The sequence below is a fragment of the Homo sapiens genome, chromosome 8, assembly GCF_000001405.40.
Source record: "Homo sapiens chromosome 8, GRCh38.p14 Primary Assembly".
In the NCBI taxonomy this organism is placed as follows: domain Eukaryota; kingdom Metazoa; phylum Chordata; class Mammalia; order Primates; family Hominidae; genus Homo; species Homo sapiens.
Window position 1 is genome coordinate 22,898,903 of NC_000008.11, and position 26,949 is coordinate 22,925,851.

Sequence of the window (26,949 nt, forward strand, 5' to 3'; positions counted from 1 at the left end):
CCCACCCTGTAAACTAGGCCTGGCAAAGAAACTGAGTCCCAGTATCCCTTTGCTAGTCCCTGCTGTGGATAGTTCCAAGGAGGTGTGGCTTGGCTAACTAAAGTCCATTGTCCCAGACAGGCGGTACAGCACGGTGGTTCATTCACAGCCTCTGAAGCTGGCGATCTAGGACCCTGGACAAGCTACACACCTGCTTCTTCATCTGGAAAATGGGGGAAGTAGCAGTTCCTACCTCAAAGCATTGTTGGGAAGATTAAATGATGATGATACATAAAGAATATAGCCCTGCCAGCCCAGCTCTCTGGAGGTAGAAAATCTGCCCTATGCAGGCTGCACACAGACTCAGGGAGCCAAGGGCTGCCGGGGGCATTTGGCCATCATTGCCTCTTCCCCAACCCAAGGTTCTGCAGGCAAGTGCCAGCTCCTGTCTGTGGAGCCTTGGCCCATGGAAAGGCAGAGAGAATGGCTCTCATGTCCCTATCTGAGGGTCCCAAAGGGCTTCCATGAGGGAGCTGAGCCTCCAAAATCATTAATTCGGAAAAGCCACACATGAAAAGGAACCTGCTTTTGCAGGGGGCAAAAGAAGTGTGTTGGTTAGCATGCTGTTCTGGGAGGTTCTTTAGGTGCACCCTGCTTATTAAGCCTGATCCTGGGCTTCTGGAACCTGCGACTCACCCCGTTACCATGGCGTCTGCTGAGCAGCACCTGGCAGTGGTGCCTCTCATCTCGGCAAAGTGGCTATGACTCCTGGCTACTTTTTCCCTAGCCAGGGTGAGGAGGAGAGAGAGGAGGGTGCCAGGCATCTCATCTGCTCAATGCTAGAAAGGAAATTAAAATATTGCAGAGAAATCGCAGAATTCGTGCATGCACTGCTTTTCATTTTTCAAAGAGCTTTTGTGGGCATTATGTCACTTGAGCCACCTAAGAACCCTGGGACAGAAGGGATGACCAGGAATGTTTTATTTGCCCATGTTATGCATGAGGAGATCAAGAACGTGGAGAGGTTAACCCTTCTCACCCGCAGTCAAGGTGAGTGACAACGGGAGGAGCATAGCACAAAGAAAGCTCCAGAAAAACAAGAAGGAGACCTGGCTTGCGGTTTGGGCTCTATCACCACCTGCCTGCATGACCTCTGGCAAGAGCCTTATCTATGCTTCAACTTTCTTGTCTGCAAACTGAGGAGCAGGAGACCTACAGCACCAAGCCCACAGGACTACCATGAGACAAGGCTAAGTGGCTGGAAACATGTGACAGGCTCTCTAAATGTAAGGCACAGTAAGAATGACTTATCGGGAGGTCACGAATCCCACAGCACAGTTAAGAATGGGGAAGGGTTGGGGAGGGGTGTGAGACGACTTTAGTGAGCACCTACTACGGAAAGAGCTCCAAATACTCTAATTGGTTCCTTGAAGTACATTTTCTCCTTTGATGCCCTTGGTGCCCATTACAAAGATTATTATCTTGACCCGAGCGCAGTGGCTCACGCCTGTAATCCCAGCACTTTGGGAGGCTGAGGTGGGCGGATCACTTGAGGCCAGGGGTTCGAGACCAGCCTGGCCAACATGGTGAAACCCTGTCTCTACTAAAAATACAAAAATTAGGCAGGCGTGGTTGCAGGCGCCTGTAATCCCAGCTACTTGGGAGGCTGAGGCATCAGAATCACTTGAGCCCAGGAGGCAGAGGTTGCAGTGAGCCAAGATCATGCCACGGTACTCCAGCCTGGGTAATGGAGAATGGAGTGAGACTCTGTCTCCAAAAAAAAAAAAAAGATATCTTATTTCCTTTTACAGATGAGAGAACTAGCCTAGGAGGTTGAGAAACTTAAGCTAGTTGGATACAGAACTCAGATCTGTCTATCCTATGCTGATTTCCTGGCCCCACCTGTGAAAAATACACCAGAAGGCATTTTATATGCGTCACAGGGCTCACAGGCTAAAACTAGGCACTTCACTCACATCCTCATTCTAAGCCTATTTACTCTTAGTTTAGACATAATTCTGACATAGTCAGCTCTCAGGTTTCCCACACCGCCACACATCAGAAGGACCATAAGGACACTAATCAGCCTTGACAGCAGCAAGAAGTGACAGATGACAGGAGGATGATAAAATGTTTAAAAATAATTTTAGCAGTTTGGGGTGGTTTTGTGTAGAAGCAATAGCCCTACACATTTGCTTGGTCCCCATAGATATCACTGTGCATGAACTAAGAAAATTTCTGCCTTCTTATGAACGTAAAATAAAACCTATATTCCACGGACAGGCCTGGCTCCAGAGAAAGAATTTTCACATTGGGTGGGGCAGCTGGTGAAACAAGAGAGGCAACACGTATTCACTGAAGACTTGTAGGCAGCAAGAGGGAAGCAAGCGAAGACAGTGACACGAAATAGATGATCTGGTGCAAAATCACCATTGGCTTATTATAGACGTGATGAGTGAAGATGGATCGGGACTCTGTCTTGTGTCAGCAGAGTCCTAGGCCTCGGGGATTCAGTTGTGAGGATGACTCTCTCTGCCCTCTTGGAACTACCTAGGATCGGTCCTGCAGGGAGTGTGTTGTGTTGATCTTCAGCTTCTAACCTCTGGGGAGGGACGCAGCCCCTCCTGGTCCACCTAAAGTCATCTTTAATACTGCCCACCGACTCTCCACACTGTGCAGCTCGACTAAGGCAACCTCCAGAGTCCTAATTCCCTGTCATAGGTGATTGAGAACTAGGAAAACCTCCTCTCCAGGGCAAGGCCAAACCTACTCAAAGGATCCCGGGCTGGGGGATTTGCAGGCTGTGTAGGAGCACGCTGACAGAACCCTGGTGAGAATACAAGTCAGTAACTCTGGCCACTGTTGAAAAGAAATACTTGTACTTAGCGAGGGCACCGTTCTGTGACAGATGTTTACAATGATGACACTGCATCATTTAACAAAGGTTAAATCATGTTCATTAGACTCTGTTTAAGAAGACATGGCCATGTGTCATGTTTTAGAAAGACTGCCATTACAAATGATTCAAATAAGAAGTTTGAGTACATGAATGAGCCAGTCAGCTATCCAGAAGATGAGCTTAGAAAGAACAGCTCATCCCCAAGTGCGGCTTTACTGCATTGCCATTTTTAATTTTAAAAACCTACGTAAATTTTAGCCGGGCGCAGTGGCTCATGCCTGTAATCCCAGCACTTTGGGAGGCTGAGGCGGGTGGATCACCTGAGGTTAGGAGTTTGAGACCAGCCTTACCAACATGGACAAACCCCTAAAAATACAAAAATTACTAAAAATACAAAAATTAGCCGGGCTTGGTGGTGCACGCCTGTAATCCCAGCTACTTAGGAGGCTGAGGCAGGATAATTGCTTGAACCTAGGAGGCGGAGGTTGCGGTGAGCCGAGTTCACCCCATCGCACTCCAGCCTGGATGACAAGAGTGAAACTCCGTCTCAAAAAAACAAAAACAAAACCTACATAAATTTTAAAATCCTACGTCCTAACTCCAACCCCCATGTCATGTCCGTAATGGACCACACCAAGTTCCCTGGATCACCTGGTAGCTTTATGGCATGAGGCAGATAGGGTGCTCTGAATGTGTCCATGAGACCTTGGTGAGGATATGACAAGCCCCATGTTGCTTCATGTAGGATCTGATGCCTGGTTAGCCTCTCCCCAGGCAACCTCTCCCTCCTGCACAGCCTGGGTGGCCTGGACACCTGGACTCTAGCCTCAGCTCTGTCATCAGCCCTGGACCCGATGAATGCTGAGATCTCAGCTCTGGTCTCTGTCCAGCTCCTGTCTCTGCAAACTTCCCCAGGGTCAGAAACAGCTTCTGCCCAGGAGGAGTTAAGTTTCCAACATGTCACAGAGGATCAAACAGCCCTGAGGGTTCTGCTACAAAAAAGATCAAGGGAGTTTGTCAAAAGGCAGGTCCCAGGACCCCTACTGGAGGGAGAATGCATTGGACATACCTGGAACTTTTCCAGGAGAACAGAAGCTCCAAACTCAGGGATCCCAGATCCTGCAGCATAGCCTTGCGTTCCCACACGCTGTAGGGGTTGGGGAGTGGGGTGGAGGTGAGCGTTGAACCTTGGACCTTTCTCATTACACCGTAGGGACCTCATAAATAGGAGGGCCTTGTAATAGCCTGACGGGCCTGAAAAGATGGCAGTGGTATTTCAGGTACAACCTGAAACTTGGATTCCATCTCGCTCTGATAGCCTTCTACTCCCATAGCTTAAGCAAGAAGAATCACCCCGGAAACCGCGAAATGTTGAGAGCAGGACTCATTTACCTGTTATTTGAGAGCCAGCCATGATATTGTGAGTAAAGTTGGGAAACAGACAGCTGGCGTTGAAATCCTGGCTTCATCACTCATGAACTGTGTGACCTTGGACAAGTTGCTTAACCTATGTGTACCTCAGTTTTCTCATCTATAAAACGGGGATAATGATGGTTGTGAAGAGTAAATGAGCTAATATTTCTAAAGCACTTAGAACAGTGTCTGGCACATGTCAGTGTGTGCCAAATAAAACAAAATAATTGGGCAAAGGCAGGGGATTGAAAGACGAGGCATTTCTAAGAAACACAACTGAGGTTCAAATGTGTGGAGTCTCTCTCCTCACCCCCAGAGGCAGCAGTTCCTGAATGGGGCTGCAGGGGAGGGAGTGCGTGAAGGGTTAAACCCCCAAGTGTGCAGAAAAACAAGTTCCATCTGGTCCCTGGGACAAAGCAACAGCCTGCAAAGCCCCCAGCCCGGGCTCCTGCTCAAAGGACACATTGCTTTTTAAAATTCCAACTTGTAGCTGCCTCGATCTATAAATCAACCCGTTCTCTACACCCTAGAGCTCCGAGAAGCATTCGCAAATGGCAGCAAGATATCCATCCTCCCAGAATAGGCATAGGAAAGTGCCCTTGCAACTGGGCCAGGGTTACCTGGTACCCAGCCTCTCCGCTTCCAGGGCATCCTCTTTGACCTCCTTCAAGGCAGATATTGCTCTCCCATGGCAAAGAGCAGGCAGGCAAGACAGAGCCAATGGTCAAGGCTCCAGCTGGGAGTGGGACTTTTGCTTAGATGCCCAACTTCAGTGACCTGCCCCTGGACTCAGTTGAGTTCCTGTCTTTGTTCATCATCACAAAAAGAAAACTAAAGCTGCTTGCCCTGCCTCCTGCCACTGTGACTGAGACCCTATTTTTAGATGCCAGGCTGAGAGTGGGGCAAGGCTGATTAATGAGAAACATCAAATACTCCACGGAGGCTGGGGGAACCTTGCTTAGAGAAGCAGCAGGCTGCTTCCCGGCTCCCTGGCTGATCTGCACACGAGGCAGCTTGTGCCTCAGTACCTGCTGAGGGACCCCAGGGCTCTCCGTACCTGGAAGAGGAGAAGGAGCCAGGATAAGGCTGAGGGAGCTTCTTCGTGGACCTTGGCTGGAGGCAGAGTCCCTCAGTTTTTACCACCCCTAGACCTGTGCCCACGCCTGGATGATGCTGAATCCAGCACCAGCATTAACCCTGCAGGGCAGGAAAGTAATTCACAAAAAGTTGGGCAATTCAAAGTTACAGTTTCCACAGCAACCAGCACTCAGACCATTTGGGTAGCTGAAGCCTTTTCCTCTTAGCGTTCACCCCCCGTCCCCCATAGCATTTTTTCCTTCTTATTAAAGTAATACACATTCATTGGAGAACATATGGAAATTACAGACAAGTGTAAAGGAGAAAATAAAAATCACCCTTAGTCTCAACACTCAAGGAGATCCAATGTTAACATTTTGATATATTCTCCGTTCGCCTAGTTTTTTATTTTTGCATGCATAAAAGATATAAATTTTTGAAAACTGGAACTATTGTTAAATGGCTATTTTATCATTTGGCTTCCTTCGCTTAAAAATATATTGTGAGATCTTCCAACAGCCTTAAATATTCTTCAAGACCATGCTTTTTAATGGCTATATGGTACTTTTTCATATGGATAGAGCACATTTTATTTAACCAATCTATTGTTGAACATTTAAGACGATTTTCTTTTCTTTCCCGCTATTTTAAATAATACTACAATGAACATCCTTTTACATAAATTTTTATGTGTTTCTCTGATTAAGTAATCAGATTAGAATAAATTCCTAGAGCTAAAATTACTGCTCAAACACAATGGACATGCTAATGACTTTGATAGGCATTATTGAATCATCAGATTCATCTAGAAAAGTTGAAGCAATTTGTACTTTTGCCTGCGGTGTATACTCTTTTAAGAAAAGAACACAAACTGTCATTTAGTTGATTTTTAAATAAAGTTATATACTATTTTCTAAAATCACATTTTTTATATTGTAAATGGAATGGAACTTCCCCCATATTTTTAATGAACTTTCTTCTTTCTATAATCACCCATTAACATCCTTTTTTTTTAAAAAAAAAAATAGGCTATTCATCTTTTTCTTGCTGATTTATAAGAGCCCTTTATGCATAAAGATAATAATGCTTTGCATATTTGTGGCACATATGTTCTCTCGGTTTGTCGTGGGGCTTTTATTTTATTTATGGCAATTAAAGTGCAGAGTTTCAAATGTTGTTGTAATTCACATCCCTCTTTCTTTTTATCCCTTTGTCCTTTGACCTTATACCTAGGCAGACCTTTTCTCTCCTGAGATCAGCTATGTATTTACTTGAATGTTGTTGTTCTAGTTATTTTGTGGCTGTGTGAGTTTGGTTTTCTGTCCGCTGTTCTAAGCCACACGGGCTTCAGGTAGAGGCAAGGACTGACCTTTACTTCTCTAGGGGTCCGGAGGCAGGAGCCTGCCTGGACAGGTCAGAGGCGGTGGCCAAGGAGACGCAGGACCTGACCTGCCTGCTGCTCCCACCTCACAGGTCTCAGCCTGGCAGGTTCCTCTCCACGGGGCCCTGGGATGTTGCTGGTGAATGGAAAAGATGAACGAGGAGGAGGAAATAGCTGTTCCACGATAACATACTGAAAAAGGTACACCTCACGTGGCCCTGTTTCCCATCTGAGGTGGGGGCGGTGGAGGATGGGAGCGCCAGATGTATGGAAAGCTGGCAAGTTGCTTCACTCTTAGCACGTTAGAAATCAAGGAATCCAATTCCAAACCTGAAATTACCCATCACTCTATTTGCAAGATGAAGAGTTTGAGGCAGCCGCTGACATTGCATATCCCCAAACACCAGGTTTTCATGAAGGAGAAATGCTATGGAGGTGGAGGAACCTGGGGCTCTCCAGAGATGCAGGTCTTCACTTCAGCCTACCCCCACCCCTCACTCTCCAGGGACCCTAGACACAGAAGTACCAGGTGGGAGGGAGTGATGCTGAACAGAGGGTGTTACCTTAAGACACTGTCCAGGCAGAGGACACTGCAGGCTGCCTCCTCTGTCCAGCCTTGGGAGAGTGTGCCTTCCCACATCCCTATTTCAATCCAGCCTTCAAACTTCTCACTAAGGCTGCTTGGCCAGTTTGCCAAGTCAGTTCTGCAAGGGATTTGTGCATTCACCCCACAGGTTTACTGAGCATCTACTATCTGCATAGCCATGTGTCCAGCCTTGTAATTTATTCCTCTTCAACCAGGGATAAAGTATTTCCTTCAAATCTCCCTCTCCTCTTTCTCTCTCCTTAAATCTTTAAAAAAACAAACAAACAAAAAACCCCTCTGTCTTGAGTCCCACATCCACTGGCCACTGCCTTGCCTCGACTGTCATGTTGCAAGGCTGCACTAGTCACATGGGTGGCTGAGATGACTGTCCATCACCATCACCACCATCATCCTCATCTACCAAATTCTTCTGGAGTTTGGCATTGACAGGTTGACATACATAATCTCTTGTCATCTTCATCTAATAACATGTGTTCAACAAATATTTACTAAGTGCCTACCATGTGACTGAGACTGTTCGAATGCTTGGTATGCACCAGTGAATAAACCAGACAAAGATTCCTGCCCTCATGGAGCTTACATTCTAGCTGTGTGGTAGGGGTGAGAATAGATAAAATGAACAAGCAAAAAACGTAAAAAAAAGAAAAAATGATATGTAAGTTAGAAGGTGGTGAAGGAAAGTGGTGAAGGTTAGAAGGTGAACACGAAGGAAAGAAGTTAGGAGGGATAAGAGGTCTCTGGGCTGTCAGAGCTAGGGGATCTGGAAGGCCTCCTTGGAAGGTAACCTTTAAGCAAAGATTTGAAGGAGAAGAAGACATGAGTTATGAAGCTATGAGTGGGAGGAGGGATGCAGGCAGATACCATCCTAGTGCAAAGGCCCTATAAAGCATGCCCCATGCAGTCAAGAAACAGAAAGGAGGCTGGGCACGACAGCTCATGCCTGTAATCCCAGCACTTTGGCAGGCCAAGGCGAGCAGATCACTCCGAGGCCAGGAGTTCAAGACCAGCCTGGCCAACATGGTGAAACCCTGTCTTTACTAAAAATATAAAAATTAGCAGCATGGCCAACATGGTGAAACCCTGTCTTTACTAAAAATACAAAAATTAGCCAGGTGTGGTGGTGCACACCTGTAGTCCCAGCTGCTTGGGAGGTTGAGACAGGAGAATCACTTGAACCCGGGAGGCAGAAGTTGCAGTGAGTCGAGATCGTGCCACTGCACTCCAGCCTGGGTGAAAGAATGAGGCTCCATCTCAAAAGACAGAAAAAAGAGAGAAAAAGAGAGAGAGAGAGAAAGGAAGGAGTGAGGTAAGCAAGGGAGCCAATGAGAAGTTAGTAGTTGAGGTCAGAGAAGTGAAGAGGTGATGGGCTGGCTCACACCAGGTCTGGGAAGCCACTGTCAGCACTTTGGCTCTCACTCTGGTGAAATGGGGAGGAATTGAAGGATTTTGAGCAGAGGCTGAGCTGGTCTGACCTGCAGATGTAAAGGCTCACTCTGACTGCCTGGCTGAGAGTATGCTGGGCGTTGAGGCAGGCAGAGGTGGTGGCAGGGAGATGGGTTAGGAGGCTGTTGCAATGACCCAGGTTGGGAGGATGGTGACCCTGGCCAGAGTGCTGATGGTGGATGAGAGAGGTGGTCAGCTCTGGATATAGTTTCCTGGTGCATTGGCTGCATGGTGAGAGAGAAAGAAAGTTGCGGTGAGCCAAGATTGTGCTACTGCACTCCTGCATGGGTGACAGAGTGGGACCCTGTCTCAAAAAAAAAAAAAGAGATACTGATGACTCCAACATGTCCAGCCTGCACAGCTAGAAGACTGAAGTTGCTCTTGACCAAGATGGGGCAAGACTGAAGATGGAGCAGGCTGGGGTTGGGAGTGGTGACTGGGTACTTGGGGCTGGCCATGTTTCATTTGAGGGGCTTATCAGACACCACAAATGCATGTGAGCAGGAAATCGTTGTTATGTGGATGAAATTTAAAGTCATGGCATTGGATGAGACCACCCAGCAGAAGAAGCTGGGAACAAGAAAGGAGAAAAGGAGACACCGAAGTGAGAGCCAGAAAGAGTGAAAGTTAGTCCAGAGAGTGTGGGTCATGGAGGCCAAGGGGAAAACAAACAAACAAACAAACAAACAAACAAAAAAAAAAACCTGTCTAGGAAGAGGCAGTGACCCACTCAGTAAAATGCTGCTGATGGGTCAAGAAAGATTAGGACTGAGGATTGACCACTGGCTCTCACCCCTGAAATGGATATTCCACCCATTTTAAGGTGAGGAAAAGGAATCGCAGAGTGAGGAAGTAACTTGCCCAAGGTCACAAGCTGCAAGCAACAGCGCTAGGATTTAAACTCAGGTCTGTGCAAAGCCAGGGGCCTTGGCACTTCTCAAACTCACCCCTTGGGCTCCAAGTGTTCCATAGGCCAAGGAAGGCAGCTCTGAGAGGCAACAATTCATGTTCCTGCTAGGTATTCGTACTCAGGAAGCCTGAGGGGAGGGGAAACTGCAGGTGAATATGGGACTGACAGCGCAATTTTTAAAATCTTCTCAATCCAGGGCAAGGTGTGAGAGGCACGCTCAGTGCTGGGCCTTCTTTTCTTGCAAATGACCATCCCACCCAGGTAACTAGGGGCTTGACCCTGGAAGGCACTTCCAGTTAGCGGCCGAGCTTTAAAGCGTTGCATCCTGGAGATACTTGCATTTTAATGGCAGAAGGGCATTTCCACAACCAAGTGGCAAAGAGAGATAGGGCAGGGGTTGCAGAGAGAGGTGAACCCACCCGACCCAAATCAGGGATCCTCTATTTTTTTCACTCCTGGGTGACCTGCCCTCTGCAATGCCTTCCTGCATTGGTGGCCCCAGCCACTCAGCCAGCTCACAGGTTCCTGGGGTAGGATGACGGTCACCTATCTCCCCCTGGTGTCGGCTCTTCCCATTGCAGCCCCGGGAGATAGAGGGCGATCTCCGCCTACCCGCCAGCGAGGCCTGGGGAGCCACACCTAAGACGTGGGTCCAGGGTCCTTCTCCCTACCCCATCCTCTGCGGCTCTACACCTGGGCCATGGCACAAACCCTCCGCATTGCCAGCACCTGGGAGTTCGAATGTGTAATGGCTTCTTCTGACTCAATGTCAGGTTAGCAGTGCAGACCTAACCCGCAGTAAAGAAATGAGGGTCCCTGATTTGTGCACACCACTGTACCCCCACGTAATTTCCTCGGCTGAATCACTTGATACTGCCAGGCCACCATTAAACCATTTGTAAAGGGAGGTGACAGAACCAGAGGAGTCTCACAACCCACTCCTTCCCTGTATTGGCTTAGGTGGCTGGCTTCTTCCCAGGGCCTGGAGCAGTCCCTGGAAACACCTCAGGATGTTCGGGGTGTACTGCAGGTTGCTCTCCACCCACCAGAAGCAGTACTGTGGAGTGGTTAGGGGCAGGAGCTTTGGAGGCTACACAGACCTGGGTTCAAATCCTGACTCTGTTGCTCATGAGCAGTGGGAATCTTTCTGTGCCTCAGTTTCCTCATCTGTGAAATGAGGGCACTCATGCCTTCTGTGCTGGGTGGCTGCAAGGCTTAAGTCTGATACTGTTCATAAAGTGCTTAGCACAGAGCCTGGCCACGTGGAGAATGGCCAGCAAATATCACCATGTAGTAAACACTGGGGACCAGAGGGCTGGAGTGGGTGGGAAAAAGGCTACAGCCAGGGGATCCAGGCTCTAGTCTCACCACGCCATGTAATACAACTGTACTTTAGAGCAAACTAATGTCCGCCAGGTTGTGAGGAGGCTCAAACGAGGTACTGAGGCAGCACACCGATGGGTGCCAGGTTGGGAGCCAGCCCAGCTGCACTCTCCTGCTGATCTTGAGAGAGTCGTTTTATCTCTAAGGGCTGTGGGTTTCTCATCACGGACAGGGATCAACACCTGCCTGACCCACCTCCCAGGAGTAACTGGAGATGAAGAGTGTGAAATGACAGCACTGACGTGCTACAAATAAAAAGGATTGTCATGATAGGGAAAGTGTTTTGAAAATTGTACAGCTTACCCCGTTGTTAGCAAGAGACCAAGCCCCCAACATCCCGCGCTTGCTCCATATCACGGCACGCATCTCCCTGCGTGGGATCTGCCTATTTTCTTGCTGGTCTCCCAAGCATACAGAGGTCTCTGCCCTCAAGAAGTTTATGTTCTCATTGGAGAGACAAACAAGAAAATGAATGGTGAGAACCCTGAAGGTAATACCAGGGGCAGAGGTAGGCAGTTCTCCATCCACCTGGAATCCTTGCTAGAAACACCCAGTGAAGGAACAACAATTCTCAGAAGAGAAGCTTAGCCCCAGGGCAACTGCCCAATGGCTTGGCAACGATGGACAGGGTTACAGAGCCCTTGTATAGTGAAGAAGGTGCTGGAACGGAAGTCAGGAGGCCTGGGTGGTAGTCTAGGCTCTCTATTAATTTGAAAAGACTACATATTGTATGATTCCAACTTTACAACATTCTGGAGAAGGCAAAACTACGGAGACAGCGAAAAGACCAGTGGTTGCCAGAGGTTAGAGGGAGGCATGAATAGGTGAAGCACGGAGGATTTTCAGGGCAATGAAACTACTCTGTATGATACTATGATGCCATCACGCATTTGTAGAAACCCACAGAATGTGTGACACCAAGAGTGAGCCCTAATGTGAACTATGGATTTGGGTGATACTGATGTATCAGCGTAGGTTCGTTGAGTAGAACAAATGCACCGCTCTGGTGGGGGGAGCTGAGGGTAGGGGAGGCTGTGCCTGTGTGGGGGCAGGGGTACATGGGAATTCTCTGCACCATCTGTTCAATTTTGCTGTGAACCTAAGACTGCTCTAAAACATAAAGTCTATTAAAAATAAATAAATAATTTTCCCTGATCTGTTGTTTCCTCGCCTGTAAAACAGAGACACTAATACCTGCTCTGCCTGCCATGACACCCACATGGCCATGATTGGGGTCTAGTGGACTCTGCGAGTACAAGACCAACATGTCAGGGGTGCGCTGGTCCCTGGAAGAATGAGAGATGCCCTCAAAGTCGGGATCCTATGACAACTGCCCCTGCCAGCCCAGCCCCCAGCAGCTGCTGCAGCCCCCTCCTCTGGCAGTTCTCACCTCCCCACCAGGCAGTGGGGGTTTTGGACTGCAGTGGGCACCTCCTCCCAGCAGCAGCTCCCCACAGCAGAGCTGGGAGCTCCACCCACCTCCTTCTCTCCACCCCTCACCCACAAGCCGGCAAGTTTTAACAAATAACACATGATACTGCTCTTCTAAAAATCTGCCAAACCTTTCTCAAAACTCCCCTTTAGGCCACAACCTTCTTTCACCAGTGAGAGCAGGCAACAAGTCCCTGTAGCATTCAAAATGCTCTTCCTTCTAAATGGCTCCCACAAAGGCCGGCAGCTATTTTAAAATCCAAGAAGCCTTTGCTGACACTCCCAACATACCGCTGTGAACAGATCCCAAACATGTGAAGAGCCCTACACTGACGCTTGTTCAATGCCTTTAAAACAAACAAACAAAAAAACAACCCAGGATGCAAATCCATTGAGTGCTCCTTTCAGGTCCCATGTGCCCCCTTGGTAGATCAGCGCACACAGTTTTTTTCAAAGAAACAGTATTTGATCTGAGAAACATCTGGAACCTGTTTCCCCAGCACTTGGCTGGGAGCTTTCAGTGGATGTCAGCGGCCCAATCGCTGAGCGTGCACCCTGCCTGCCTGAGCTGCCGGCAAGATCTATCGGACTGGGGGTGGCGGATTGGGTAAGGGGGGGCGCTGTTTGATTAAAAGCTGCTGGGGGCAGGTTCAGGTCTGGCAGGAAGTTCTGGAATGACAGAGAAGGCCACGAGGATAAGGAGCCCTGGGAGTGAAGATTAAGACTGGGAATCCTCCTAATGGAGCCACCCTGAGTAAGACAGTCGCCGGAGCACGTGGCCGTTCTGTTAAGGTTTCCCCTCAGCCATTAAGTGTTTAACAGACAAGTGATAACAACAACAATGGACATTCTCACTATTGCAAGATGCCCATCACAGGCAGGGCAGGGGTGCGTTCTGTGTGTATCCCTCACTACCGGAACAGTACCTGGCAGAGGGGCAGAGAGTGGAGCTCCATCCGGATCTGCTCCAGTGAATACATGAATGACTGAATGACACCCCCTCTCCACTGTCAACATTACAGGCCTGTTTTCAGGAACCGGGGGATTCCGGAGGCAAAATTACATAGGTGAAAGGTAGTTGACTGCAAGCCAGGGAAGCTGCCATCCGGGGCTGGTTCTCCCACTTCCCAGGTTTGGCAAGTGTGACCCTGGGCAGCGCCCTCATCTGTCATCAAGGGGATAATCCCCGCTCTATCCATCGCCCCATGTTGCTAGGAGGATCTGTCCTGTGAAGTCCTGCATAGGAAGTGTCTTTGCAACCTGAACATCTAACTGCAAAGGTTAGAAATGCTGACAATCCTCACTCCCCTTTCACCCAGTCCAGTTGCACCCAGAGGAGCCCCGGATGACCTGGCTGGGGACCTGGGCTAGAGTGGGACACAGCTGAGTGATGTTAGCACTTTGACTACTTGCACTGAAGGAGCCAGGGACAAAGGATAAAATGACCTGATTCGTCCTTGCCTGGGTGCTGCGCGCCCTCCTCACCTGCCTTCCCACACCTGGCTCCGCCTGTTAGCACCTGAGCCCTTCATTTACAAGCTCAGCGGCCTCCTGTCCCCTCTGCCTCTGGGCCTCAAACACACACAGTTCTCCTGGAACCTTGGAAAGTCCAACTCTTCTTTTGTGTCTTCTGTCCTTCAGACTACAAATCCATCTCTTTCTATTGTAGTGACAACTGATCCCATCCATGAAACTCCAGTTAGGTGCTCGGCACCAAATACAGTGGCATCTCATGAATTCTTCCCTAAACCCTCACCTGATGCACTGGTGATCTCCCCAGGGTGGCCCCTTACCCTGTCCTGACTTTACCTTCTGCTCCCAGCCCGCAGTCCTGGAACGATCCAGATCCAGTGGCTCTTCCCCAGCCTGGCCCCATGCAGCCTCTCCCAGCAGTGGAGCCTGGTGACTCCTGCTCCCCATTCCTGCCTCTTCCCTGCACCTCCCTCCTCTGTGCACCTTTACTTCTTCTGCAATGTCCGTGACATCATCATTCCCCACGCTCTGCCCCAAAGTCCTTCCACCCTGCAATTTCATGACATTGCCTCTTCCCCCTGCAGTAGGGGCTTGGCTGGCTGAGCTCCAGCTCCCAGGGCCAGCATAGGGCAGCCCCCTCCAGCCCCTGCGGCCACACCTGCACCCCTCCTGCCCACTATCCCCTTCCTCCTCCTCTTCCCTCAGAAGCATCTCCGGCACCTCCCACCCCTGACTTCCAGTCAGTGGCCAGGTCCCATTGGCTCCAAAGGAGCTGGACACCCTTTGAAATATCCTCCTAACTCCCACCATTCACACCGTTTATCACCTTGGAATGAGCATTTCCAGTCGACCCCTCAACCCCTCCTTCTGCTGTATTTTGACACTGCCCTTTTATTGGCTCCTTCCTGCCAGAATTTACTTATTTATTTAGAGTTGGGGTCTTGCTCTGTTGCCCAGGCTGAAGTGCAGTGGCACAATCATAGCTCCTTAGCCTATTGCAGCCTTGAACTCCTGGGTTCAAGTGATTTTCCCACCTTAGCCTCCCCAGTACCTAGGACTACAGGTGTGAACTACCAGGCCTGGCTACTTTTTTTTTTTTTTTTTTTTGAGACAGAGTCTTGCTCTGTTGCCCAGGCTGGAGTATAGTGGCGCGATCTAGGCTCACTGCAACCTCTGCCTCCTGGGTTCAAGTGATTCTCCTATCTCAGCCTCCCAAGTACCTGGGATTACAGGCATGTGCCACCACACCCAGCTAAGTTTTGTATTTTTAGTAGAAATGGGGTTTCACCATGTTTGCCAGGCTGATCTCCTGACTTCAAGTGATCTGCCCACCTCAGCCTCCCAAAGTGCTGGGATTACAGGCATCAACCACCATAAGGCCTGGTTAACTTCATTTTTTTGTAGAGATGGGGTCTCTAACTCCTGACCTCAAGCAAATCCTCCTGTCTTGGGCTCCCAAAGTGCTGGGATTAGAGATGTGACCCACTTCGTAAATATTACTGAACACATACTGTGCCCAGCCCCTGCCAGCACTTAAACATTCGCAGGCATCTCTTCTCCCCTGGCAAAGCGGTGGTGTGAGTAGCCTACTCCATGGGATCCACTCCTCATTCACTCCTTGGTCCCCTCACACGGGTAACCAGTGGCTTGCTGGGGTAAGGCAGTGCGTGCGTTTCCTGTGGCCTCACCCAACCTCTCTGGCTGGCTGCTGTTGAGCATAGCAGAGCCTACCCGCAGGTAAACCTGTCCTCCTCTCAGAGTCCACGCCTGCTGGAACACTGAGGATGCAGACCCAGGTGCCCAGCCCTGCCTTCTCTTCTGGAGTCAGATGGCAGACCTGCCTCTCGGGCAGCTACCTCTGGATGCTACAGCCTCCTCAAACTCTATGGGTTTCTGTGCAGAAGTCGGTGCCAATGGCTGCCATCCCTGTAAAAAACCCAGTGCTTCTCTGTGTCCCCTTCTTGGTGAAGGCACCGTTATTAGAGTTAACATATACCCCAGCTTGCCAGCGCCATGCCCAATGACACACATTGTCCTGGCATAACTATTAACAGCATCCCCCTTTAGTCTCAAAAGGGTCCTGTCTTAGATGAGAAATTATATACTCAACCTCATTGTTACCCACTCGCCTGCTCATCACAGAAACCCGAGGGTCATCTGGACTCTCCCTCTCCCCAATATCCCCACAGCCCCCAAGCTCTATGGGTTCCACGTCCTTAACACCTTTTAAGCCCAGCCCATGGTCCATGCCATCACCTAGGTTGCAGGGTGGGCACCTTGCCTTCAATCTTACCTTTCTTCCATTCTTCCACCTGCTGCTGGAGTGACCTTCCCAAATTGCAAATCTGATCACATTTACCAGCCTAAAAATCAAATGGTGACTCTCCTCCCCCAGCCACCAGCCAAACTTTAAGATAAACTCTAAACTCCACACCAGGGCCATGAAGTTCTTGGCTCCTAACCATGGATGTGCCCCTGCCCTACCCGCCCCGACCCCCGACCCAACCACAAGCCTCATCCCTCACCTCACCATCCTGGCTCCCATCTGTCCCTTGCTGGGTCCCGGCTCACTGACACCCTGTGTCCCCATGCTTGCCCGCTACCTGTCTATCTCCCCAGCTATACTGCAAGCTCCGTGATAGTGTCTTTCGTCTCTGAATCAATAGCACTGACATGGTGCCTGATGCAATGTGTTCAGTAATATTTACGAAGTGAGTCACCGCCCATCCCCAACACCAAATAGTCCATGGCGGCTGCAGTCCCCTGAGCCAGTGGGCCTGCACTTGACCGCCTCCACATGTAGGAGAGGAGACTCCACATGTAGTCTACTGGAAGACGTCTCTGCTCCATCCATTAGGGTCTGTTCTTCTAGAATTGCTGTGGGTGTTGGGAGCCCCGTGTCCTTCCTCGGCTAATCATTTTGTGACTGCAGCAGCCTGTATTTTTCTGCTCTGTGTATACAGAGAAGGGTTGGTAGGGGCGGTGGACCTGTGAGTTCCGAGCTCTCTTATAGAGAGGAGAGTTCCAGGCCTCTAGAAAATTTGGGTTGAAACTTGTGTCTCCACCATGGGCCAATGAGGGCGAGAAGGTGCTCCCTGGGAGGCTGCGGCTAGAGGCCTGGGCTGGCATGAAATGCACTGACCCAGGTGGATAGGGCACTCAGGGCCACCTGCTTTGTGAGGAGAAGAAATAGTGCCTGGGCCAAGCCTGATTGGAAACTCCAGGGAGAGCAGGACAGACCGAGGCAGCCTTTTGTTCCCTCCCTGTAATGCAATGCACATTCCCCACTTAAAGGCAATTTCTGCACTTCAAAAGGATTCCAGCTGGCGAAATTTAAGGTGGAGAATAAGCCCCCAGTCAAGAAGCTTCTCAGGGGCCTTTCAGTTTTCCTTGGCTTGAGAACGGGATGCATTTTTAAATGTTTGCCTCTTCATGTTTGTCAGAGCGCCAGGGGAGAAACGCTTCCTCTTACTTCCACACCTCTCTCGCTCAGCCATAGCTGGCACGGGAGCCAGCCACGTTTTCCTGTGTTACTTTGCCTTCTCATGAACCTGCCTGACTTCCTCTCTTTCTCTGCCTGCTTCCCCACCCACCCCCCAGCTCACACCCCACCCCTAGGGGGAGGAGAGAGTCCTGCTGCCCTGGGTTCACTAGGTTTAGCAGCTTTCCTTCAACAGATGCTGAAAGGGCCGACAGTTTGGCTGACACAGCTCATAGCTCACACTCCAGGAGATGCTCTCCCACATGTCATTCATTCATTCATTCATTCATGCATTCATGCATTCATGCATTCACCTGTTCACTCTCTCACCTAGTCACCCAGTCAGCCAGCATGGCATCTGAGGTGCTGGTGGGGCCCACGGGTGACTCAAAGAAAGACAACACATAGTCTTTCTCTCCTAACTTACAAAGTGCTTGAAGCTTTGAGAGACAGGAATGAGCAACTACAGCACAAGACACAGGGAAGTCAAAACCCAGTTTAGAGGGTAGGAACATTTTAAAAGCACAGAGAAAGAAAAGATCAGCCAGGGATGTAGGTGGAGCCCAGAGGGAGGCAGTCAGGGAAGGCTTCCTAGAGGAGGAAGCATTGTGACGGGAGCAGGGTCCAAAGACGCCAAGGATGGGGAAGTGGCCAATGCCAGAATATGGAGGTGGGAAGCTCTATGGTGGGCACAGAGGCACTGCTGCACCCCTCTTTCCAGGGCTTTGGAGTTTGCTGGGGGCGGGGGAGGGGGGGGTGTTCCCAGGCATGTCCAATGGCAGTCACTGCTTTGGTGGCATTGCTTCAGTCACCTTGGAAGCAATGCACCATCCCCACATAGCAGTCACCAACTCGTGCCCTTCTCCATCAGGCCCAGAAGAAATACCTTCATGCTCTTCTCTGTCCTAAACACTCAGGCTCCCCGCACCCTTTTCTTGAGGGACCCAGGTAGCACTTGCTCCTCCAGCCTCACCAGTCATGCCCTCTCCCTTAAGGGAAGCTCCAACTACCACCTTCCCTAGGAAGAACTATCCTTCCTGCCCACCCCCTTCCATTCTAACCAGGGAAAGCTTCCCTTCGGCCAGCCCACCCCTGCCTGTGCCAGCGCCCCCTGGTGTCTCCCTTAGAGCCCTTGCCAGTGGCCCACTGGCCAGGCCCATGGGCTCTGGAGTTGGGCAGACCTGGCTTTGACTCTGGCTCTGGCACCTTTCAGCTCTGTACTTGGCCAGATTACTCACTTCCATAGGACCTGCCTTGCATTTCCTACCTAACATCCTTTCACCCTTATCTGATCAATCACACCTTGACTTGCATTCAGGGCAACCATCCTCCTCTACTCTCAGTCCTTGTAGATTAAGGGGAGCTGTAGAGGGTCACTGCTAGGTTCAGGGATAGGCACAAGACCAAAGCGAGACCAATCCTGTGACTTTTAATGGATGGAAAACCCTATTTCCACTGGGGTTGACAAATTGGTCAAACACAAACCTAAGGCTGTTGGGGCCATCTTTGTCACAAGGGAAGACTCTATTTACAAATGAAAACAGCACAGAAAAAAACAATCAAGAGACAGATTCCTGGTGACACTGAGCACCTGGATCCAGCCTCGCCTGAAGTTATCCCTGGAGTTTTCAGTTTTGTGAACCAATGTTTCCCCCTCTTTTCTGGCTTAAGCCGATTTGAGTTGACTTTTTGTCACATGCCATTAATAGTCTTGATGAAAGAAATACTTAACTTGGAGACTTAAATGAAAGGTCCGAGTAGTGCCCAGGAATGGAATAAGGTGGCACTCACTGACCACTTTGGCAAATCTCTCTGAATCTGCCTTCTCATAGGTCTGTTACATTTCCATAAACTATAGTTCCATAGTAGTAGAATACTATGTTTTTCTTCTTCCCACAGCTTCGATCAAATCTTCCTTTGTAAAATCTTCACTCTCCCAGGCTTTCTTGACCACAGCTCTGTGTTCCTCATAAATCTCTATGTTCCACATCCGTTTTCTCCCCACCCCACCCCCGGGCTGAGGCAGGATGGGTTTAACAGTACAAGACTTCAGGATGTGGCGTGGGTGATGTCGTCTTTGTGTAATGTGCTGATAAGCCAGGGCAACGAAACCAAATCAAACCAAAGACTTTCCCAACAGGCTTCAAATCCCTGCTCTGGAGGACACCAGGTGCTCAGAAAAGTCTACACTGCCATCTAGTGGATGTCTGCAGCATCATCAGCACGCGGAAGGGAGCCCTTTGGGGAGAATTCCCTTGGGACTGTCCCTGGCCTGTGAAAGCATCCGACTGACCCTCACTACATAAGGGACAAACCCCAAGACAAGTGAATGGATGGTGAAGCCGAGAGTCCTGTCCCGCAGAGTAGCATATACTCCTCTAAAAGATTGGGTTCCTGCCCGGCCTCTGCACCTCCCATCCCAGGAGTTAGAATCAGCAGGCTTCCTTTCTCTGCTCCTCTTGGCTGTCCACAGGTGTGCCCAGTCCAAGGGTTTCCAGGGAAGAGGGCTGACGCTGTGTGCACATGGGTGTGCATGCAAGTGTGTGTGTGCACATGTGCACACATGTGCACGTGTGCACTTTATTGCTCGTCTTCCCAAAGGAAAGGGTGTTTGTCGTGTTTGCAAACAAGACAACCTAGCAAAGCTTCATGACAACAGCCTCATAACTTGCGAGCCATATCACAATCTATTTGCTCTCTGATAGTGAAAAACACTTCAAAGAGAAGAGTCTATTCCCCGCATTGGAGTAACTTGTGTGCTGCCGCCCTCTGGAGCTTGTTGTCCTACTGGGCTTAGCTGACTGCATGAGGCCTAACCAAGGCAGCACTGAGGGGAAGGAAGAACCCCTTGTGGCCCTTCCCTGCCACCCTGCACAGAAAGGACCAGAAGGTCAGCCTTGGTGTGTGTGCTTGGTCACATCCCGGCCACGACCCTTCCATCTCCAGGCATTTGTGACCCAAGTCCTGCCTAGATTGACAGCAGCACCTCCTTCTAAAACACAGCAGAAAAGAGGCCAGTCTCCACCATTGACACTCTGCGGGCTCAGTCTGGCCCAGGAGTCAAGAAATAAAGAAGCGGAGACCAGAAGGCCAGATCAGCTTCCCCAAAACACACTCTGGCTGCTTAGGGCAGCAGCAGACCCATTTCCCACTTCTATGACTCTTCCCCAGGCTTTCCAGACCCCTAAATGTAATAGCACTAATCACTGCCCAGTAAAATAGTTATTTCCAGTTCCTAAAATGCTTTGTTCTTCTTTTACACAACTTTGGGCAAAAGAAGAGCGTGTCTCATGTTGTGACAACAAAGCGTCAAGATGCACTGACCTCTGCCTGTTTAGGCAACTTGGGAAGCTCTGTCTTGGTAAATACCAGCTTCTCTCCAGCCCAGAAGCCATCTGAAGGCCCAGGCACCCCGCGCCTTGAGAGAGGACTCCTCCCATACCACGCCTTCTTCCACTTATCTGCCAACTCCAAAGCACACACCAGCTGGTCTCCACCAGGCTTGGGGTCCCAGATCTCAGGGGCAGCCAAGGAGCTCCCAGAGCAGGGGAGCAGGAAAAGGCCTGGGCAGAATGGCCTCAACCATCACCAAAGTTTCCAGTCTGCAGCCCTCCCACCAGCCCCCAGCCTTCTCCTCAAGTCCACTCTAAGGAAGGCACAACTTTATGGCAACAGCCATCTGCAGCCACCAGACCCAACCCAGATGGCTCTGCACGCAGCTTCAAGTCACCCAGATGAGCAAGCCTGGAGGAACATCAAGACCCCCAACTGTCCCCCCGCTTTAACACAGCCCTGCTCACTCACGTCCACGGCCCCCGGGAACTTGACTATCGGCTCCATCCAGGAGGTGATCTTCTGTCTGTAGTTGTTACAATCAGGAACAACCTTGCAGCCAATGTTCCCCAACTCTGGGTAGAAAACTTCAAGGCCCCTATGAAGAGAGAGGGGAGGTTGCCCTGTGTCAGGGTTTTAAGGGAGCCTGGGGTTCCCAAGGCTTCAGTCTAGCACTATTGGGAATGTAAAGTGAAATGGGATCAAATCCTAAACCTGCCACTAACTAGTTGTGTGACCGAAGAGTTACTTGACCTCCTTGTGCCTCAGTTTCCTCACCTGTAAAACGAAGACACTAATAATTCCTCCCTCATGGAGTCAGTGTGAGAAGAAAAGTGGCGGTCAATGGTCAGAACAGAACCTGGCACGTTGTAAGTCATCAGAAAGTATAATATTAATTATCATCAGCCTTTACTTCCCTAGAAGAACAGATATCCTTAGGCAAACTTAGTGTCTTTAAAGTAGGATTGAGTTTATAAAAACAATACCTATAGATTGCTTTTCAGGAACATTCTTATTACAGAAAGAAAAGCTTAGCAAGTCAGCACAGCTTCCTTCAAGGGCATAGACCTTCTCTCTCCCCTAAACAATCAAGAGCTCCCCATGCCTGAAATCCCACCATTAGGTGAAGAATTGGCTTCTTTGGGTTAAGCATTGACTGTAGCCTAGGTTCTCTTTCAAAATGCAAACATCCCTCAGGGGGTAAAACACTGGCTCACTAAGACTGTCAGTATGAATGAACCAGTTCATGTATTTGCTCCCTGAGAAGAAGGGCCCGAACAGCACCAGGGTTCTAAGAATGTGGCTTCCTGGAAGGGAAGAAAATATGATGCAGAGCAAGGCAACAGAGCCTGCAGGGCAGGGCAGGCCGGGCTGGGCCATGACAGCACCAGGCTGGCTGTAAGTGCATGCTTATATTTGACACTCAGGAACACAGGTAAGATTTTTCAAAGACATTTTTTAAAACTGTTTTTGCTTGCCCTTCTATTATAATTTATCTCCATGACCTAAGTCCTCTGTAGGGTTAACGAGGGTTAAGACATCACTGAGAGAGAAAGGGTGTGGGTAGAGAGTGGGTGTTGCAGGTCCCCAGCCTTTCCTAACACCTTGCAGGGCTAAGCCGCTCTACAGCCTGCCGGTAGCCACCCACAGCGGTCCACAGTGCCTTGCTGGGGGTGATATCTAAGGGGACCCTGTGAGGATGTAATTTGGAGAATAGATCTGGAAAGGGAGCTCCCTGAACCTGGGGCCTGGGAGTAGGCCAAGAGCAGCTTCCTGGTGGGGAACCCTGCATTGCCCCTCCCACCTTCCACCTCCCACCCTTCCAGTGGCTCCTGAAGTCCAGCCTTGGGCAAAAGGCCGCTGAGCCCCCAGCACCTGGCAGCCCCGGACCAGGACACTTCGGTGGGCCAGCGCCCCCAGTGCCAGAAGTCACATGCTCTGGTCTCAGAGAGTGGAAGCCGGATGAGTCATGGGCTTGCTGAGCAAGTTTGTTTCTTCTAACTCTTTGCGCATTTACAGCAATTCTTGGTGGATGGCAAGATTTTCACAGCTTTTGGAGAAGTTTTAGGTGACCAGTTTTATCTTCCTAGCATCATCTTAAGGACCGTTTGGTTTGTTTCTGCTGCAACTCCTTGCTGCCGCAGCTAGCGAGATGCGAGGCAGAGAGGGGACCCACCAAGGGCAGAGAGACAGACAGCAAACAGCACAGGATGGGAAAACTGAGAGGTAGGGAGGAGGTAAACTGAGGGTGGAGGGACGCCCTCACGCCCATAACCCCTCTCCCCTTTTTATCAGAGTGGAATTGTTGTAAATATCAAAAGGATTAAACAAGCAAAATCATCAAATTGTTATTTGATGAGGTGGGCACAGAGCCACAGAGAGTGCCCTGAAGGACAGGGCACATGCCAGGGAACCAGGGATTTGGGTCTTGTCTCTGTCCCTCTCTTCACGCCCATAGGGCACTGCCAGGCCAGCGTTTGAACATAGCGTATTGCCCCACCTAGGATGATGGGAAAGGGGCATGTGCAGGCCTCTGCCCTGCTCAGCTGCTTTAGCAAAGTCTTGGAGAAGGACACGGAGACAAATTTATTTGATCTGCAGATGGCACAGAGCTGGTAACCAACAATTCTGATGATCAAATTGACTTACGAGACGACCTGGACAAACCTGAGGTGAGCTGAATCAAAAATTAAAGTTACTGAGAAAATACACTTTAAATTTTGCATTCAAGACTAGGCACGGTGGCTCATGCCTATAATCTCAGCTCTTTGGGAGGCTGGGGTGGGAGCATCACTTGAGCCCAGGAATCTGAGACCAGCCTAGGCAACATAGTGAGACCCTGTTTCTACCAAAAATTAAAAAAACAAACAAACAAAAAAAAAACACCATGGTAGTGCCTGCCTGTGTTCCCAGCTACTTGGGAGGATCACTTGAGCCCAGGAGGTAGAAGCTGCAGTGAGCCATGATTGCATCACCGCACTCCAGCCTGGGTGACAGAGCAAGACCCTATCTCAAAAACAACTTGCATTCAAGCCAGAAAACCTCAAAGGTGCCACCTTCCTGTGTGCCCTTGCTGCTTGTGGTTTACCTGACATGGAATTCTTCTAATTTCCATGTGGAGAGTTTGGGGATCTCCTGATCTCCTTGACAAGACTTGAAGGCACTCTAGACAGTGGAGTGAAAAGATCAGGGGCCCTGGCCCCAGCTTTGCCATGAACTAATGCTACATAAGGGACTGGGGATGAAGGGCATGACTTTTACTGGGCCACCCCAATATATCGGGGACATCACATATGTATGATTTCATTTCATGCAACCATACCTTGAGGCAGCTGTTATCACTATTCCTATCTCCAGATGAGTAACTGAGAAACTGTTGGACAATACCTATTTGCAGCTGCTACGTGTTGGAGTGATCTGTTGTGTACAACAGAGAACTAGTACTGTGGGCTTGGCTGCACTTTCTTCCCCGCACCACACGTTTTCCCTAGTGAGCTGTTTCATTCCTCCAGGCTTCAGTTTGAGCTAGGTGGTCATGTGGGTCTCTGTCATGGCAAGAATTAGATCACAAGGGCTGGGCGTGGTGGCTCAAGCCTGTAATCCCAGCACTTTGGGAGGCTGAGGTGAGATGATCACTTGAGCCCAGGAGTTAGAGGCCAGCCTGGGCAACGTAGTGAGATCCTGTCTCTATAAAACATAGAAAAAATTAGCCAAGTGTGGTGGTACGCATCTGTAGTCCAGCTATATGGGAGGCTGAGGTGGGAGGATCGCTTGAGTCTGGGAGGTCAAGGTTGCAGTGAGCCATGATCCTGCTTCTACATTCCAGCCTGGGTGACAGAGGGTGATGCACTGAGACCCTGTCTCTAGAAACGTGGCTTCTCAGCTGTGCCTGTATGAAGGGCTTAGAATTTCAGCTGCCCCTCAGTGAGTGCTATGGTCTGAGTGTTTGTGTCTCCTCAAAATTTATATGTTGGAATTTAATCCTCAATATGATGGTATTAACAAGCGGGACTTGGAAGAGGTGATTAAGTCACCCTTATAAAAGGCACCCTCATAAGAGAGGCTGAAGGGAGCTGCCCTTCCCTTCCCCCATGTGAAGTCGCAGCAAGAAGGTGCCATCTTTGAAGCAGAGAGCAACCTTGTACCGCACACTGAATCCACTAGCACCTTGATTTTGGCGCTTCTCAGCCTCCAGAGTTGTGAGTAATACATTCCTGCTGTTTAGAAATGACCTAGTCTAAGGTATTTTGTTATGGTAGCTGAACAGACTAAGACAGTGAGGATGACAAAAAGACACATGGGATATGAGGCTGCCTCGAAGAGGGGGCTCACTGTGAAAGTGTGGGTCACCCCACTTGAAAAACAGCAAGCCAGGTATGGCAGTGCATGCCTGTAATACCGGCACTTTGGGAGGCTGAGGCAGCAGGATTGCTTGAGCCCAGGAGTTTGAGAACAGCCTGGACTACATACCGAGACTCCCAACTCTACAAAAAATAAGAAACTTAGCCAGGTGTGGTGGCGTGCACCTGTAGTCCCAGCTACTCAGGACGTTGAGGCAGGAGGATTGCTTGAGCCCAGGTGTTCAAGGCTGCAGTGAGCTATGATCAGGCCACTGCACTCCAGCCTAAGTGACAGACAAGACTCTGTCTCTAAAAGAAATGTATTTAAACAGGAGAGACCAAGGCCCCTGAGAGAGGTTGAAGGACTGGGGATGACTGCCCAGGTTGGGGGGAGCTGGGGATGAAGGGGCAGGGCAGGGCATGGCACCTGTCACCACACACATGAATGACCACAAAGAAGATGAGAAACTAGACTAGTTTGTGCACCTCGTGGATCCGCACTACAACAGGTAGGGTTGGTGTTCAAGAAGAGCAGCAGGGCCTCGGGGTAAGAATGTACTTTCTGAAGAACGGAGCTTTTCAACACCAAAAAGCAGGACGCTTTGAGCAGCAGCTCCCATCCCTAGGGGAGCTTGCAGGGCTGACTGGATGGCAGCAGCAGGTGGGGTTTTTTGAGTGGATTCACCTCCTGGCTGCAGGTTTGGAGAATCATGGTTCTTTCCATTCTGCGACTGAGCCCAGGGTTGGGACCGTCGGTGGTTTTGCTGGTCTTGTCTGGGGTATCTCAGAAGCAGGGAAGGTCTGATTCCCGAGAAGCGTTACTCTTAACAATGTCTCACAGCTTGTCACAGTACATAAAATTCCTCCCTTATAGATTAATACCTTTAGGCATTGAGTCCAATCTTTAAGAGTTCCCTGGTAGACCAAATGCCCACAAGAGGAGTGCCTTCTCTGGGGGATCTCTTGCCAAGGTCAGAGCCTGAGCCGAGTGGGGATCTTGAGGAGGGGTCAGTGCAGGAGGTCCTGCTGTCTCCTCAGGGGTCCGATCTGTCCTTGATGCATTTTTCATTTCATCATCATTCATGATGCTCTCTTCCAAACAAAAATCTTCAGTGACAATAAAGACAAAGCTCCTCTTTTGCGATGATGGCTTGAAATCAAAAGACATCTTCCTGGCATGCAACCTTAAGGTCATAAGTCTCTTTCTCAGACTGGGGGCCTGCTGGTGTATTCTGGGAGTCCTGAGAATGGGCCCCCTTGACTCGAGTCTGGGAGCCCTGAACCTGGGGTGAAGGTTGTCAGAAGCAGATAGGGAAAGAGCGTGAGTGTGGAGTCAGACAAGGGGGCTAGATCTTGGCTCTGCTACTTTTAAGCTATGTAAACACTGTGGGCAGATTTCTTAATCTCTGGGGATTCTTCATCTGCAGAATGGGGGTGCTAACACAGACTTTGTAGGTTCGTTACTGACAGTGAAAGGAGTCAAGGAGTCCAGGCACCGGCAGAGCACCTGGCACACAGAAGGTGCCCTGGGACTTCCCACGTGTGTCCCCATGCATGGGTCACCAGGGCACCAACATGTGATCTTGGCAGGGCAGAGCCTAGGGCATCTGGAGCCTCAGGCTGGTCACCCCCAATGACCCTACAGACATCCTCATTTCCCACAGTGTGGGAAACACCAGGAACTGCTGAGGTCCTCCTTAAGGGGCCCTTATTGTGGCCCAGGCCTGCTGTACCCTGGCCCAGCTGACCTCTCCTGGTTACGGGGGTGTTGACCTTGCACTGCTCAGAGCGAGAAGCCT

General features: G+C 49.9%; 1 protein-coding gene across 3 annotated transcripts in view, besides 6 other annotated features; it reads right to left on the bottom strand.

Annotated features, from left to right (window-relative positions):
* The window catches only part of PEBP4 (phosphatidylethanolamine binding protein 4), a 227,827-nt gene that overhangs the window by 185,652 nt on the left and 15,226 nt on the right, over positions 1–26,949 (bottom strand). For 2 of the 3 annotated variants that reach the window (NM_001363233.2, NM_144962.3), the window contains exon 3: positions 21,282–21,408. In NM_001363233.2, the coding sequence (NP_001350162.1) occupies positions 21,282–21,408 (127 nt within the window). Of the gene's footprint in view, positions 1–21,281; positions 21,409–25,454; positions 26,434–26,949 lie in introns of those variants that run through there. The other variant, XM_017013103.2, reaches the window with a different exon arrangement.
* Positions 3,891–4,078: a silencer, noted in NCBI's record as "fragment chr8:22760306-22760493 (GRCh37/hg19 assembly coordinates)". NCBI's record gives its function as "represses an EF-1alpha promoter that drives an FKBP-Casp9 reporter gene in an ReSE screen in K562 erythroleukemia cells {active_cell/tissue: K562}" and the evidence as "EXISTENCE:reporter gene assay evidence [ECO:0000049][PMID:32094911]".
* Positions 10,114–10,408: an enhancer, noted in NCBI's record as "tiled region #3596; HepG2 Activating DNase matched - State 12:CtcfO, and K562 Activating DNase unmatched - State 8:EnhW". NCBI's record gives its function as "activates a minimal TATA promoter and a strong SV40 promoter by Sharpr-MPRA in HepG2 and K562 cells {active_cell/tissue: HepG2 | K562}" and the evidence as "EXISTENCE:reporter gene assay evidence [ECO:0000049][PMID:27701403]".
* Positions 10,307–10,366: a silencer, noted in NCBI's record as "silent region_19016". NCBI's record gives its function as "represses an Ori minimal core promoter by ATAC-STARR-seq in GM12878 lymphoblastoid cells {active_cell/tissue: GM12878}" and the evidence as "EXISTENCE:reporter gene assay evidence [ECO:0000049][PMID:35858748]".
* Positions 12,722–13,493: an enhancer, noted in NCBI's record as "H3K4me1 hESC enhancer chr8:22769137-22769908 (GRCh37/hg19 assembly coordinates)". NCBI's record gives its function as "activates a minimal SCP1, AML or CMV promoter by ChIP-STARR-seq in naive H9 embryonic stem cells {active_cell/tissue: H9 hESC(naive)}" and the evidence as "EXISTENCE:reporter gene assay evidence [ECO:0000049][PMID:30033119]".
* Positions 13,494–14,265: an enhancer, noted in NCBI's record as "H3K4me1 hESC enhancer chr8:22769909-22770680 (GRCh37/hg19 assembly coordinates)". NCBI's record gives its function as "activates a minimal SCP1, AML or CMV promoter by ChIP-STARR-seq in naive H9 embryonic stem cells {active_cell/tissue: H9 hESC(naive)}" and the evidence as "EXISTENCE:reporter gene assay evidence [ECO:0000049][PMID:30033119]".
* Positions 20,644–21,572: an enhancer, noted in NCBI's record as "H3K4me1 hESC enhancer chr8:22777059-22777987 (GRCh37/hg19 assembly coordinates)". NCBI's record gives its function as "activates a minimal SCP1, AML or CMV promoter by ChIP-STARR-seq in naive H9 embryonic stem cells {active_cell/tissue: H9 hESC(naive)}" and the evidence as "EXISTENCE:reporter gene assay evidence [ECO:0000049][PMID:30033119]".